This window comes from Homo sapiens, chromosome X (genome assembly GCF_000001405.40).
Source record: "Homo sapiens chromosome X, GRCh38.p14 Primary Assembly".
Classification (NCBI taxonomy): Eukaryota; Metazoa; Chordata; class Mammalia; order Primates; family Hominidae; genus Homo; species Homo sapiens.
In genome coordinates, this window is record NC_000023.11 from 54,748,516 (window position 1) to 54,765,368 (window position 16,853).

Sequence of the window (16,853 nt, forward strand, 5' to 3'; positions counted from 1 at the left end):
AAGCCTCAGTCTGTGTAACATCTCTGTTTCTACATCTTTATATGTCTCTGGCCCTGTGTTTCTCTGTTCTTCTCCTATTCTCTGCCTCATGTCTGCAAATCAGCATGTCTGTGTATCTCTGAGTTTCTACCCCTCTGACCTTGGTGTCTTGGACTGTGGTCCTGGTCAGTGTCTCCTTGGTTACCTATGTCCCCATGTCTCTGTGTGTCTTAATACCTCTGCTCCTGTGTCTGAATCTCTATGTTTATCTATCTCTTAGTTTGTATATAGTTATGTATCAGTGTCTTTACATTACTCATTATGTGTCTGTACCTAAGTGACCTTTTTTACTCTTTGCCTCTTTGTGACAGGGACAGTAACTGAAAACCACGAAGACACAGAGGTGCAGCCAGAGAGCATCTGTTCCTTTTTCTCTGAGTTTATGTCCCTGATTCTGCCACTCTGGCTCCCTGTCCCCATCTTTTTATGTCTCTATACCCCTATGTCCATGTTTGTTTTGTGATTCCTGTGTTTCCATAAATGTCTGTCCCTCTATCCATCCATATCTGTGCCCTTGTCACTGTTTTTCCGGGTGTGATCCTGTGTCTTTGGTTGTGAGTATGTATATATGTGTGTCTATTGCTATGTTATGGGATCCTTTTTTGTTAATTAATTAATTCATTCTTTTAACAAATATTTACTAAGCACCTATTATGTGAGAGGCACTGGGGATACATAGATGATTCAGAAAAGGTCCTTGCCCTCAAAGATCTCACAGTCTAAGTCAGGGATCCAGACAAGTAAACAGATGATTACTACACAGTATAAATACTGTGAGCGTGGAGGGTTGGGGGTGGGCTATAGGAACCCAGAGGACAGGACCAAACTCAATCTAGGGCAGGCATCAGGAAAGGCCTCCTAGAAGAGGTAACAACTAGGATTTGAAGGATGAATTATACTCACCTACAGGAACAAAGGAAGAGTGTTTCATGCAGAAGGAAAAGCACATGCAATGGTCCAGTGGTAGGAGTGAGCATGGTTTGTTAGGGAAACTCTGAGAGCCTTGAATATGCCATAGGAGTTAGGGAAAGCTGTGAGCAGAACTACTGATCATTTTTTCGTTTTACAAAAGTGGCTTGTAGGGCTGGTGAGGAGCATGGATTTGGAGAGGGTGAGACTGGAGATGTGAAGGACCATGAAGATGCAGGAGTCCCTGACTCTATGTCTCTGCATGTCTATGTGTTTGTATACCCTTGTATATGTGTTCCTTAGAACATGCGTGAGTCTGTGTGTCCCTGTGTGTGCTTCCATGTCCTTGGGTCTCTGTCCCTGGCTCACCCCATGCCCTGGTTTCTGGATCTCCCAAATTCAGGTCTCCTGGCTCTGGAATTCAGAAGCCATCACAGGACATAGGAGAGGTAGGGGTGGCCCAGAAGCAGCTCTACATGAGAGCGCTTCACCAGCCAGCAGGAAGCCCAGCGGGGCAGCAGCCTTGGTGAGTCCTTCAGCAGCCTCTTGCCTAGAATCACAGGCACATCTGGGCCATGGTGCCTTCGTAAGCATGGCCCCATAGGTCCTGTCACCAGTCGGATGTCTGCGTGCTGGAACTGCCCTGAGGGAGAGAGATGCAGTGCTAGTCAGGGAGGTGGCCTGAGTCCCTGCTCAGAGATCTGCAAGGAGGCCCAGCAGGAAATCCAGAGGGATTTAAAGGAGGAAGAAGGAGGGGCAGCAAAAGACCAGAGGGAAGAGGCTTGGCATTGTGGGAACTGTACAGGAGCCAGATGGGGCTGGAGTGTAATATGGAAGTAGGGAGCCAAAGTACATGAGATGGCAGAGAAAGGGGGACAGCCAGGTTTGGAGAAGACAGGGAAGATTAGAAAGAAGGAGACAAGAGGAGGGAGGAGGCCCAGAGGAGGTAAAAATATCTGTTTAACCCACTGTCACTCTTTGATGTGAGCCTCTGCCTCAGGTTCTGCCAGTGTCTCCTGACCTACAGCCTGGCTTCCTACAACCTCCCTTCATAGCAGTCTCCAGAGGGATCTTTGTAACACCCAGATATGACTGTGTCTCTCCTCGGCTTACAACCCTTCATGGCTCCTCATTGCTTTCAGGATAAAGCCCAATTCCTCATCCTGGCATTCAACTCTGACCACTCAACTCTATTTCCTCCAACTTCCATTCCTTTCCTCCACACTCTTGTTTAGCCTTTCAGACTCAGCGTGGGTGTGTCTACCTCCTCCAGGAAGTCCTTCTTGAGCTCTGAGGCTGGGCAAATTCCCCCACTCTGGTTTTCTCTAGCTCCCTGGGCAGCTTTCTGTCCAGCAATGATCCCCTCCTGTGTTCACTATCCATATCTGGGTCTGTCCTCTCCCAAGATGAGGAGCTCCCCAAGGGAAGAGTCTGTTGCTGATTCCTCTTCCTTGTTGGGGATATACATGCCTTTCACCCTGGCAGGGTCTTTTTGGTGGCTGGTGCTCCCTGGCCCCTCTCAGCCTCAGCTGCACTTACCTATCAGGCCACGGGCTGAGGGGCTGAGGCCTGAGCCATTGGCCACGTAGAACCCCAGGTGGGGTAGTTGCAGGGTACTGGGATGCCTGTAGCGGTGTCGGAGGACTAGGAACTCAAGGTAGGGCCCAAGGCGGAGGGTAAGGCGGGCTGCAGCAGCCACATAGAGCTCCAGCTGGGGCCTCTTCAGCAGGGCAGGTTGGTCCCAGGACAGGCGCAAGGTACCCTCGCCTCGCAAAGATATAGAACTGCGGCTGATGGTGATAGTATAGGCCCGGGGTTTGTCTGTAGTGACTGTGATGATCTGGAAGTAGGTGCGAGTCTGGTCCTTGTGGCCCGGCCTTGGTGGTGCGCCAAGCAGCTTCCCACTCACATGCAGCCCTGGAGGGAGGGGAGTGTGGGCCTGGAGCGGGGGCTTTTGCATGGTCATTTACATGGTCACCCACAGCATGGGCAGATGAAGTAGTGCAGATTTGTGGCTAGAGGGCCGACTCCTGAGAGAACTACTTCTACCATGGTCCACCTGGCTGCTCCTTCCTGAGCAGTGTGTGGAGTGGGGGCATGTAGTATGTGTGCACACGCTTACCCCAGTGTGGTTGTTTGCATATATATGTGTGTTTGCCTCTGAGTGTGTAATATGTGTGTTTGGTTATGTTCATATGAGTAAGTCTGGGCATATCAGTACATCTGCATGTTTGGAGAAGGTGGTATGTTAGAGTGCGTATTTTTGCTTGTATATTTATGTATGCGCCTCTGGATATGTTGGTGTTATATGTCTTGGTGCAATAGTGTATGTTGTGTGTACCTGGTTATGTGTTGGTCTGTGCTGATGTGTATATGGAGTGTCAGTGTGTGCATCTGGATTAGTGTCATTGTTTGGCTTGGCAGGTATTTCCATGCATCAGTGTATTTCATATAACTAGTGTAGCAGAGTATGTTTGCTGCCTGTATGTGTTGAATACCTGGAAATTGGGATTAACCTTGGGGTATTCAGTACTTGTATGCCCGAGTGTGTTGATGTCCATGCCATTGTGTATATCTGGGCATGTGTTGTGTGTCACCATGTGTCTAGGTGCATATTTGCATATTTGTGGGTGAAAGGAGTGTCAAAATATGTACACCATGGTGTGTATGAGGAGTCTTCAAAAAGTTCATGGAAAATGCATTTTATGAAAAACTATGGATGGATTTCAAAATTTTTTGCACCAAAATAAACTCATACTAATTTGTTACAACACGGATGAACCAGATCTAGTTTGAAGCATTAAGAAGGACAAGACATCAGTTTGAAAAGAGCCCCTATCAGAGCAGCATGAACTCTGCTAAAATTGAAGGAAGAACAATTTATGGTGAAGCTTGGGTGCAAGAATGGTAAAATTATTGGCATTTTATGAAAAGTTTATAAGGACAATGTCCTAAAGAAAGCAGAAGTTTACAAATGGATAACTCGTTTTAAGAAGGGATGAGACAATGTTGAAGATGAAGAAGGCTGCAGTGCAGACCATCTACATCAATTTTCGAGGAAAAATTCATCTTGTTCATGCTCTAATTGAAGAGAACTGGCAATTAACAACAGAAACAATAGCCAACACCATAGACATCTCAATTGGTTCAGCTTACACAATTCTGATGGAAAAATTAAAGTTGAGTAAACTTTCAACTTGACAGGTGCCAAAACCATTGCACCCAGATCACCTGCAGACAAGAGCAGAGCTTTCAATGAAAACTTTAAACAAGTGGGATCAAGATCCTAAAGCATTCCCTCAAAGAAGTATAACAGAAAATGAAACATGGCTTTATCAGTATGATCCTGGAGACAAAAGCACAATCAAAGCAATGGCTACCAAGAGGTAGAAGTGGTTCATTCAAAGCAAAAGCAGACTTGTCAAGAGCAAAGGTCATGGCAACTGGTTTTGGGAGATGCTCAAGACATTTTACTAGTTGACGTTCTGGAGGGCCAAAGCATGATAATATCTGCTTATTATGAGAATGTTTTGAGAAAGTTAGCCAAAACTTTAGTAGAAAAATGCCTGGGAAAGCCTCACCGGAGAATTCTCCACCATGACAATGCTTCTGCTCATTTCTCTCATCAAACAAGGGCAATTTTTCAAGAGTTTTGATGAGAAATCATTAGGCATTGACCTTACGGTCCTGATTTGGCTCCTTCTGACTTATTTTTGTTTCCTAATCTTAAAAAATCTTTAAATGGCACCCAGTTTTCTTCATTTTTAAATAATGTATAAAATACTGCATTAACATGGTTAAATTCCCAGGACCCTCAGTTCTTTAGGGATGGACTAAATGGCTGCTATCATTGCTTATCTTGTACTTGATGGAGCTTATGTTGAGAAACAATGTTTATGTTTTTAATTTTTTATCGTTTAATTCCATTTTACCACAAACTTTTTGAAGTTCCATCATATTTGTGTGAGTTTACTCTATGCCCTTTTGTGCGTGTATCTGTGAGTATCTTGGTGTTTGAGTGTATTCATGTGTGTTTTTTTGTGTGTCTTGGTGTGTTCTTGTGTGTTACCGTGTGTTAGTGAGGTGCATTGCTATGTGTCTGGGGTATTAACCCACAAATGTCTAGGGGTATTGACATGGATATATCCAGCTTTGGTGTATGGTGATGGAGTTCTTGGGGCTCTTACCTGCCTTTGGGTCCTCTATGAGCTGCAGCAAGTCCCCAGGGTGCCCATTCAGTGTGAAGCAGATCTTCTCTTCTGAGTGTGGGATTTGGATCACAAAGTGGGGGTCCCCGTCCACTGCAAGGCAGAAGATACAACTCTAAAGTTAAAGGAATAAATGGAAGGGAGAGGGAAAGAGAGAGGAGGGAAAGGGAAGAGGTTATGTCTATTTCCCCAGCCCCAGTCCCAGTGCACAAGCTGCCCTGTACTCAAACAGGGGAGCCATGGGGGTGACTGGCTTACCTGAGGAGGAGAAGGTGAAGATGCTAGGCAATGTGCCTGCAAAGGAGAGAGAGACTGTGTTGGGAAGGGACTAATGTATCACATTCCTAGGAATTCTGGGACATACTCCCAGATAAGGGCCAAATTCCTGTGTTCAGCATTTAAGGCTTTTCTGAAATCTAGTCCCTGCCTAGCTCTCCAGTCTTTGTGCTCTAGCCCAACCAAACTATTGTTATGAGTGTCCTACCTTCTCTTCCTAGTGACCCTTTACTCCTGTTTTTCCTGCCACCTGGAATGTTTTCCTTTCCCTTAACTACCAAGGATGAATTTCTAGTTATCCTTCAAGGCCAGCCCAAATGCTCTTTTCTCTTGCTCTCTGCCTGTGGTAGGTAGAATTCTAAGATGGCCCACAGGATCTCTTGGTGTACACACTCTGTAAAATCTCCAGAGCTGTGAATATGATGAAATATCCTCCCAGAAATAGGTTATTTCATGTGACCCTATTGAACTTATGAAGGGTATATTATCCAGGTGGGGCCTGACCTAATCACGTAAGCCCTTAATATTTGTATCTAGAGGTCAGAGACAGAGGAGTCAGAGAAATTTAAAGTGTGAGAAGGGTTTGGCATTAGGGGAATGCTCCATAGCTGCCTTTGAAGATGGAGGGGGACCACATGGCAAGGAATGCAGGAGATTTCTAGGTACTGAGAGTGGCCCCAGGTAACCTCTTGCAGCTGAGAGCGATCCTCCAGCCAACAGCCAGCAAGAAAATGGGAACCTCAGTCCCAGCAACACAAATAACTAAATTCTGCTAACAACGTGAATGAGTGTGGAAGAGGATGAGAGCTCAGTGTGACAGACACCTTGATTTCAATCTTGTGAGATCCTGAGCAGAGAATCTAACTAAGCTATTTCTAGACTACTGACTAACAGAACTGTGAGATTATTAATTGGTGTTGTTTTAAGCTACTAAATTTGTGATAAATGTTACACAACAATAGAAAACTAATACATTACTTCCCTCTGGTCTCCCACAATGTCAATAAGAATTCTAATGGAATGGAAATGAAGGCCCAGGGGATCTTTGTCAGGAGAGCTCCTTGCTCACCTTTTGCTAACCCCACAGAACTTCCTTGAGATTCCATGCTGCCTCCAGCTCCTCCCAGGATCTCCTCAGAATTGCCATCCCAGTTTGGACTTCCTGCCAAGCACAAAAGAAATAAGAAAACCCTTCAAATTCCAGGGGCAAAGTCTCAAAATCTTTCTGACAAGGAGAGCCCTCACTGGCTCTGCAGGTTGACCTGCCCATCTCCAGGACTGGGACCTTATGCTCTCCACAGCCTCTTAATCTCTCAAGCTCAGATATGTTCAAAGTTCTTCCTTATAGCATTTATACATTCATTTGTCCATTCATTCATTCATTCATTCATTCAGGCATTGCTTAGGTATTAGGTATATGGTGGTGAAAAATAAAGACATAGTTTCTGACCTGGTGAAGCTCATAGTTTAGTAGGGGGTGGCAGACATGAATGAAATCATAATTTATCACAAATGGTGATAAATGCTATTGGAAAAAAATAATGAGGTGACTGTGGGAGTTAAACAGAGACCTGAAGTAGCCTGCTTGGGGGAGGGTGGGTAAGGAGATCTGAGCTGAGATCTAAGGCATGAGCTGGAGTTCGAAGGGCAATGGAAGGGATAAGGGCAGCAGGAAGGGGTAGGACAAAGCAGGTCAGATGATTATGAAGCAGAGACAGTAGCTTGAAAAAAGTCCCTGAGTGGAGATGGGGTAGGGTGTTCATTGGAGGGGCAAAATAGAGACCAGTGGGGCTGGAGTTCAGAGAATGGGTGGGAGAGAGTGAGGTCATAGAGGAATGGGGGTAGGGAGCAGATCATGCAGAGCCTGCTGGCCATGAAGAGGACTTTTAACTTCATTCTAAGTACGATGGGAAACCCTTGAGGGATTTTAAGTAGGGAAGGGGCATGAAGTGATTTGTGTCTTTAAAGGATCCCTTTGGCTGCTGGGAGAGACTGGCCTGTAACAGGACAGGAGAGGAAGCAGGGAAACCAGTGAGGAGCCTGGAACAGTTTTCTAGGTGAGACACAATGGTGGTCTGCTGTAGCACAGTGACACTTGGGGTGGTGGGAAGTGGATGGATTTGGTAAATATATTAGAGGTAGCATTGTCAATAACTGAGGATGGATAGGATATTGGAGGGGTGTCTGAGGAGAGAGGCATGTAGAGGATGTCATACCCAAATTTGCATCCCTGTGACTTAGGCACTCTCAGTGGGTTCTAATCCTGCCCTATAAGGTCACCTAGGAAATGTCACTCCTTCTCTTAGGAAGGCAGGATACTGGAGTGGTGAATCACATTCATTCTGTGACCAGATTGTATGAGTTCAACTCTCTGACTAGCTGTGTGACATTGAGAAACTTATTTTACCTCTCTGTGCTTCATTCTCCTCACGTGTAAAATGACGATGTCAAGAAAGAAAGATGTTTCTTGTGAGGATTAAATGAGGGACAAGTACAGTATGTAGAGCAGTACTTGTGCATAGGAAGAGCTCACAAATGTTAACTTATTATTTCATACTTTTTTTGGAAATTAAAGATAATTTTAATTATCTTCCCCAATTCTTCTACCCCTGTCATTAAGCAGGACTATTCACAGAGCACAGAAAAACCAATAAGACCCGCCTCATCCAATGATGCATTCCTCCCCTGCTTAGGAAGCATCAGCAATTCTTTTGTCCAACAAAACAAATGTCAAAGCTAACCCTTGGCCAATTTGTTTCTGTTCAGCCTTCCCAGTCTCAACACTCCTCCTCTCCCAAGGCCTCTAATTCCATGCATGTATACTGAGGCCCAGAGAAGTTAAGTAACTTGTCCAAAGTCCCAAAGCAAGCAAGCAAGCAAGCAAGCAAGCAAGCAAGCAAGCAAGGAAGCAGCTGTCCCATCACTGGAGTCTGCATAAGCCTTGTAGATTCCCAGCTCCTGGTACTGTCCATTCATACCTCACCCTCATGGCTCGACCTCTTACCCATGGCACTCACCATCTTCATCAGGAGTGAGGAAGGTATAGAAAGCTGGTGGGTTCAAGGACTCCACGAACTTGGATTCCACCATTGATTCAGACAGCAGCTCTAGCTCCTCAGGGAGAAGGAGCAGACTGATGGCCTCAGGGAGGATGCTAGAAGGCAGCAAGATTGGCAGGTTTGGAGGGCTGCCTTCTGGTGTAGGCCTGGAGCTGTTGAGTAGGCTCATTGTTGGAACTCCTGGCCTAGATGGTCCCAGAACTTGCCTGGTCCTCTGGGGACCCGGGAGGAGGTCATACTGATGCCAGAACCTTCCAGGGGGCAGAGTGGGAGTAAAGGGCATGGGGAGGGGTTCTCCAAGGACAGAGGTGGTTGTGGTACTGCTGGGACCTGTGGAACTTGAGATTGTATTTGGGAATGTGCTTAGGCTCTCAGGAAGTGGGGGCCTTGGTCTGTCAGGTCTAGGAGGTAGTGGGGTTTGAGGCATATGGGGGTTTGGGGTCTCAGGCTTGGAAAGTGATATGCTTGTGGAAATTTGGTGTGGTGGGGCACTCGGTTTAAGAGATAATAAGATTTTAGGGGTCTTGGACAAGAGGATTCCAGGCCCCAGGTGTGGCATGTTGTTTCGGGTCTTGGGAGCAGGAACCCTAGGTCTGGTGTGTAGTGGGTACTTGGGAACCTGAAGTGTAGAGACTCCAGGTCTTGACTGTGGCAGGCCTTTAGGTGCCTGTGATGTGAGTGCCCCAAGTTGGGGGTGCGATGGAGCACCAGGTTTGGAATGCAGTGGAGTAACACATTTCACAGTGTCAGCTTTGGGCGAGGCTGGGATGCCAGGTTTCACAGGTGGGACTTGTGTCCTGGAGTTCGTGGGTAATATATCAGGATTCTGGTGTGATAGAGAGCCGGGCTTCAGAGGCAACAGAGTACCAGAATTTGAGGGCACAAGAATGGTAGGTTTTGTCCTGAGAGTTGGCTGGGCCAAGGTGCCAGAATCCTGTTGTGCTGGAATTTTGGCCTTTGGGTATGTGGGCATTGACAGGGTATGAGGGCTCTCTCCCAATGGCTCCAGCTCTTTGGAACTTAGCATCTTCTTGGTAGAGGCAGTAGTAGTTGAGGATAAGTAGAACTTTGGTTTCACAGGCCTTGATTTGGGGGAGATGACCTTGGGCACCAAGGCTGGCTGAGCTGTGCTTACCCCTAGGCCATGCCTGCTGCTGGATGAGGGCATGATGGTGTCTGGCCCAGCAGAGGTGGAAGTCTGTCTCCTGGTCTCCTCACTGGCCTGTTTGGGTTGCACCATGACCAGTGAAGTCAGAGGTGTGACAAAGTTGTATTCAAGGGACAGGTTGAGGACTTTGGCAGCCAGCAGGTGGCGAGTGGTGGTGTCACGAGCTTGGAAGTGTGCATCCAGCAGTTCTCCAATGGTGACATAGGCCCAGAGGCGGCGGATGAAGTGGGCCACATTGGGGGCTGGCTCCCCTGGGCAACCAAAGGCCTTCTGGCTGTTGTTGGTGGCCCCTTCACTGTGGTGGGCCACAAGAAGCTGATCCTTGGGGCCACGGGCTGCCAGGTGGATGCCCAGTTCCTGTTTGCCTGGCTGCACCTGTCCTGCCACCACCAGCTCAGAGCCACCAAAGTAGTTGGGGAAAACGGCCCAAGGGGAGGCCCCAACCAAGCCACCCAGGTAGTTCAGACGCACATCTGCCAGCAGAGGCATGGAGATCTCCTCATAGAGGCCCTTCAGCTGTAGGGCCGCATCAGTGTCCTCATATATGCGCCGGGCTATTCCCCGGTTTTCCAGGGACAGGCGGCGCAGCAGTGTAAAGTCAGCATCATCCCCAAAGGCCAAGCTGAAAAGGGATACCCTGTGGCCTAGCGCCTGACGGACATTGGAGAGGATCACACTGGGGGTCGTCACGCCGGCCGTGGGCTCCCCATCCGTCAGGAAGATGATAAGAGGGATCCTCCCCACACTGGGGCCCCTCCCAGGCTCCTGGTTGCTATGGTTCAGCACTGAAGCAGCTGCCAGCAGAGCTGAGTTGACGTCTGTCCCTAATTGGGGAATAGATTGTGAGACCATCTTCTCTGGTCACTTCTACCCCCATTGCAGACACACTGGGCACCTCATCAACTTCCCAGGCTCACAGCTCCTTATCTTTGCTCAGGCTGTATCCACTGTTTCTCCTTCCCAACTTCTCCACTCCCACCCAGACTTGCTGAGATCTGACATTGGGGCCCACATGTCCTTGGCTTTTATCACTCTCTGTCTCACACTGTTCTTTGTCTGTTTCCTTGGTGGTGCAGGGTCGAGGGGGGAGATGTCTCATTCCCGAGCCAGACTGGCAGGCTCCCAAGGCTAGCACCCCCCCCTCCAACCTTCTTGCTACAGGGGAAGAAAGGACAGAGTTGACAGGAGGCAGTGGGTAGAGGAGACTTCAGTAGTTGTCAGAGACGATTGCTTAAAAGCTAGAATCAGGGCAGCAGCTTCCTCAAATGCTTGGAAATAAATATCTAGATTATTGATTTAAAGAAAGTTTAGCAAATTCTTTCAAGTGTTTGCTTTAAAGAAGAGGAAACTGAGGCCAAAAAGAAATGTGCCCTAAGATACATGGAGAATCGGCTGTGCTCTTTCTACAAGGAAAGGGTGATGGGAGAACACAGAGGACAAAGGACCATATTTGTGTGAAATGTGGTCTTGATATTTCAGGAACTGTGAGAGTTGAGGAGGATGGGGGAATGAAGAGAGGGTTTCAGGAATTTCCCATATCACCACAGCCTGCCCATTTGGGTGGGTAGATCTAACACTTACAGCCATCGGCTTCCATGCAATGCAGGTAGTCCTTGGCACTGTGGACATTCTGGATGGTGGCCTGGATTGAGCCTCCAGCTTTCCAAACATTAACTGTGTCAGAAAAGGAGATGATGTTGAAGTAGTCATTGGCTTGAAGGTCACTGAGGATCACATTCATGGCCGTTTTAGTCTGTGGGATATGGATGAAATGAAGAGAATGGGACAAGACTTGAGGTCTATGAGATTGAAAGGCTTTTTCTACACAAGGCATTAACATCTAAGTGTTATATGGTTTTAAGACTCTCTGACTGCAGGACTCTGTGAATCTAGGATTCTCAGGTGAAAAGACTCTATGGGTTCCAAGGCATAGAACTGCACTGTTTAATATGGGAACTAATAGTCACATGTAGCTACTTATATTTGAATATAAACTAGCTAAAATTAAAGAAAAATTCAAACATTTAATTCTTTATTTGCAGTAGCCACATTTCAAGTGTTCAATAGCCACATGTTGCCAGTGGCTACTATATTAGATAGCACAGAATTTTAGATCATTTCCATCATCACGAAAGTCATATTGGACACTGGTCATCTAAAAGGTTCAAGCTCCCTGTTTTTAGAGCTCTAGAATTCATTTGCTATATGGTTCCTGGGCTCCATGACCCGGGATTCAATGATGTTTAGGACCTTTATGATCCCAGGTCTCTTTTTTATTATTATACTTTAAGCTCTAGGGTACATGTACACAACATGCAGGTTTGTTACATATGTATACATGTGCCATGTTGGTGTGCTGCACCCATTAACTCGTCATTTACATTAGGTATATCTCCTAATGCTATCCTTCCCCCCGCCCCATGCTACAACAGGCCCCAGTGTGTGATGTTCCCCTTCCTGTGTCCATGTGTTCTCATTGTTCAATTCCCACCTATGAGTGAGAACATGTGGTGTTTGGCTTTTTGTCCTTGAGATAGTTAGCTGAGAATGATGGTTTCCAGCTTCATCCATGTCCCTACAAAGGACATGAACTCATCATTTTTTATGGCTGCATAGTATTCCATGGTGTATATGTGCCACATTTTCTTAATCCAGTCTATCATTGTTGGACATTTGGCTTGGTTCCAAGTCTTTGCTATTGTGAATAGTGCCACAATAAACATACGTGTGCATGTGTCTTTATAGCAGCATGATTTATAATCCTTTGGGTATATACCCAGAAATGGGATGGCTGGGTCAAATGGTATTTCTAGTTCTAGATCCCTGAGGAATCGCCACACTGTCTTCCACAATGGTTGAACTAGTTTCTAGTCCCACCAACAGTGTAAAAGTGTTCCTATTTCTCCACATCCTCTCCAGCACCTGTTGTTTCCTGACTTTTTAATGATTGCCATTTTAACTGGTGTGAGATGGTATCTCATTGTGATTTTGATTTGCATTTCTCTGATGGCCAGTGATGATGAGCATTTTTTCATATGTCTGTTGGCTGCATAAATGTCTTCTTTTGAGAAGTGTCTGTTCATATCCTTCACCCACTTTTTGATGGGGTTGTTCTTTTTTTCTTGTAAATTTGTTTGAGTTCTTTGTAGATTCTGGATATTAGCCCTTTGTCAGATGAATAGATTGCAAAAATTTTCTCCCATTTTGTAGGTTGCCTGTTCAGTCTGATGGTAGTTTCTTTTGCTGTGCAGAAGCTCTTTAGTTTAATTAGATCCCATTTGTCAATTTTGGCTTTTGCTGCCATTGCTTTTGATGTTTTAGACATGAAGTCCTTGCCCATGCCTACGTCCTGAATGGTATTGCCTAGGTTTTCTTCTAGGGTTTTTATGGTTTTAGGTCTAACATTTAAGTCTTTAATCCGTCTTGAATTAATTTTTGTATAAGGTGTAAGGAAGGGATCCAGTTTCAGCTTTCTACATATGGCTAGCCAGTTTTCCCAGCACCATTTATTAAATAGGGAATCCTTTCCCCATTTCTTGTTTTTGTCAGGTTTGTCAAAGATCAGATGGTTGTAGATGTGTGGTATTATTTCTGAGGGCTCTGTTCTGTTCCATTGGTCTATGTCTCTGTTTTGGTACCAGTACCATGCTGTTTTGGTTACTGTAGCCTTGTAGTATAGTTTGAAGTCAGGTAGTGTGATGCCTTCAGCTTTGTTCTTTTGGCTTAAGACTGACTTGGCAATGTGGGCTCTTTTTTGGTTCCATATGAACTTTAAAGTAGTTTTTTCCAATCCTGTGAAGAAAGTCCTTGGTAGCTTGATGGGGATGGCATTGAATCTGTAAATTACCTTGGGCAGTATGGCCATTTTCACGACATTGATTCTTCCTATCCATGAGCATGGAATGTTCTTCCATTTATTTGTGTCCTGTTTTATTTCATTGAACAGTGGTTTGTAGTTCTCCTTGAAGAAGTCCTTCACATCCCTTGTAAGTTGGATTCCTAGGTATTTTATTCTCTTTGAAGCAATTGTGACTGGGAGTTCACTCATGATTTGGCTCTCTGTTTGTCTGTTATTGGTGTATAAGAATGCTTGTGATTTTTGCACATTGATTTTGTATCCTGAGACTTTGCTGAAGTTGCTTATCAGCTTAAGGAGATTTTGGGCTAAGACAATGGGGTTTTCTAGATATACAATCATGTCATCTGCAAACAGGATCCCAGGTCTTTATAGCTGCCTTTCAATGACTTTGCATGCTTTGGTTCTGCTGTAATCTGCTCTTCTGCCTCACCCTCCATTTCTTCCAGGCTGGTCTCACCAGCCCCTAGAAAACTCAGGTTCCAGTTTAACTCCATAAACCTTGCTATTTTATGCTCTTTAGATAGCATACTTTCCAACTTCCCTTTATTTATTCACATCTTTACTGTTCTTTCAGTTGCTCCTTCTCTGGAAAGTTCTTCCTTAAGTTGCCAACCCTGACCCCTGCCCTTCTCACTTAGATATTCCCTGTCCCAGTCTGTTAACTGACTGTTTTACATGAAATATTTTTACTTTCTATCCAAATATTGAACCCTTTGAGAGAAGGGCTTATAATGTTGCTGCTTCTTGTCTCCCTTCTCCATGGCAATACTAGCATAGGGCTAGGCCCATAGGAGGTTCAGGGAATAGAGTGTGTAGGATCTACTATTAGGTATCATTTACAGGACACTTGCTATGTTCCAGGCACTGTGCTTAACCCTTTTGATGCATCAGCTCACTTAATTATCACAGCAACACAATGAAGAAGGTATTAATACTATCCTCATTTTACAGGTGATGACACTGAGACTCAGAGAGGTGGGTGCTTGCTTAAGGTCATACAGCTAGTCATTGATGGACAAGGGATTCAAATACACATTTGGGAGGTTTTAAATCCAGTGACCCTAAGCACAATATTATGCTTTCAATCCTTTATATAGATATGGATTTCAGAGACCACAGGAAGGACACTTGAGACCCACCTTTCTCTATAACTTAAACGGATAGGAAATATCTTGAATGCTTCTAAGTGGATTAGAGTCTTTCCTGCCATAGGGAGAGCTCTGGGGATAGGTCGTATATTCTGGGACAGGGAGCTAAGCACCATACTCTTGTTTCCATTGAGAGGGAAGAGACTTAATAGGATTGCCTTTCCTGAGAAGAGCTGTAGAAAAGTGAGAGCCTATGAGGTCCTAGAAGTCAGAACCTCTTGTTGACCGGGAATAGACTGTAGAAGTGTGCTGTTTAATCTCCAATTACTTTGAGATTTCCCAGCTATCTTTCTGTAATTGAATTCTAGTTTAATTCCATTTGATTTGAGAGCATACTTGGTACAATTTATATTATTTTAAATTTGTTAAGGTATGTTTTAAGGCCAAGGATATGGTCCATCTTGGTAAATGTTCCACGTGAGCTTGAGAAGAATGTGTAATCTGCTTGAGCAGAATGTGTAATGTTGTTGAATAAAGTATTCTAGAAATGTCAATTCGATCCAGTTAATTGATGGTGCTGTTCAGTTCAACTATGTCCTTACTGATTTTCTGCCTGCTGAATCTGTCAATTACTGATAAAGCGATGATGAAGTCTCTAATTATAATAGTGGATTCATGTATTTTTACCTTCCAGTTTCGTCAGTTTTTACTTCATATATTTTGGTATGTTGTTCGTTGCATGCACATTAAGGATTGTTTGTCTTCTTGGAGAATTTCCCCTTTACCATTATATTTGTTTTATTGTTATATCATATAATGCAACTATTTATTGCTGAAAATTTCCTTGCTTTGAAGTCTATTTTGTCCAAAACTAATACAGCTACCCCAGCCAGCTTTCTTTAATTTGTGTTAGCATGGTATATCTTTCTCTATCCCTTTGCTTTTGATTTATCTGCATCTTTATATTTAAAGTGGTTTTCTTATAAACAACCTACAATTGGGTCTTATTTTATTATCCACACTGAGAGTATCTGTCTTTTAATTGGTATATTTAAACCATTTATGATTGCAGTCATTACTGACATAGTTGGATTAATATTTGCCATAGTTGTAAATATTTTCTATTCTTTTAAAATTCTTTTTTTTTTTAATTATACTTTAAGTTTTAGGGTACATGTGCACATTGTGCAGGTTAGTTACATATGTATACATGTGCCATGCTGGTGGGCTGCACCCACTAACTCGTCATCTAGTATTAGGTATATCTCCCAATGCTATCCCTCCCCCCTTCCCCCTCCCCACCACAGTCCCCAGAGTGTGATATTCCGCTTCCTGTGTCCATGCGATCTCATTGTTCAATTCCCACCTATGAGTGAGAATATGCAGTGTTTGATTTTTTGTTCTTGCGATAGTTTACTGAGAATGATGGTTTCCAATTTCATCCATGTCCCTACAAAGGACATGAACTCATCATTTTTTATGGCTGCATAGTATTCCATGGTGTATATGTGCCACATTTTCTTAATCCAGTCTATCATTGTTGGACATTTGGGTTGGTTCCAAGTCTTTGCTATTGTGAATAATGCCACAATAAACATACGTGTGCATGTGTCTTTATAGCAGCATGATTTATAGTCATTTGGGTATATACCCAGTAATGGGATGGCTGGGTCAAATGGTATTTCTAGTTCTAGATCCCTGAGGAATCGCCACACTGACTTCCACAATGGTTGAACTAGTTTCCAGTCCCACCAACAGTGTAAAAGTGTCCCTATTTCTCCACATCCTCTCCAGCACCTGTTGTTTCCTGACTTTTTAATGATTGCCATTCTAACTGGTGTGAGATGATATCTCATAGTGGTTTTGATTTGCATTTCTCTGATGGCCAGTGATGATGAGCATTTTTTCATGTGTTTTTTGGCTGCATAAATGTCTTCTTTTGAGAAGTGTCTGTTCATGTCCTTCGCCCACTTTTTGATGGGGTTGTTTGTTTTTTTCTTGTAAATTTGTTTGAGTTCATTGTAGATTCTGGATATTAGCCCTTTGTCAGATGAGTAGGTTGCGAAAATTTTCTCCCATGTTGTAGGTTGCCTGTTCAGTCTGATGGTAGTTTCTTTTGCTGTGCAGAAGCTCTTTAGTTTAATTAGATCCCATTTGTCAATTTTGGCTTTTGTTGCCATTGCTTTTGGTGTTTTGGACATGAAGTCCTTGCCCACGCCTATGTCCTGAATGGTAATGCCTAGGTTT

The 16,853-nt window shown here is 44.5% G+C and overlaps 1 protein-coding gene across 1 annotated transcript in view; it reads right to left on the reverse strand.

Moving 5' to 3' along the window:
- ITIH6 (inter-alpha-trypsin inhibitor heavy chain family member 6) overlaps window positions 403–16,853 on the reverse strand; it is a 49,338-nt gene continuing 32,887 nt past the window's right edge. Inside the window, exons 7-13 of the mRNA NM_198510.3 lie at window positions 11,241–11,412; window positions 8,450–10,483; window positions 6,502–6,594; window positions 5,415–5,450; window positions 5,136–5,249; window positions 2,488–2,865; window positions 403–1,591 (exon numbers count right to left, since the gene is read on the reverse strand). Of these exons, the coding sequence (NP_940912.1) occupies window positions 1,380–1,591; window positions 2,488–2,865; window positions 5,136–5,249; window positions 5,415–5,450; window positions 6,502–6,594; window positions 8,450–10,483; window positions 11,241–11,412 (3,039 nt within the window). The 3' untranslated portion in view covers window positions 403–1,379. The remainder of the gene's footprint in view (window positions 1,592–2,487; window positions 2,866–5,135; window positions 5,250–5,414; window positions 5,451–6,501; window positions 6,595–8,449; window positions 10,484–11,240; window positions 11,413–16,853) is intronic.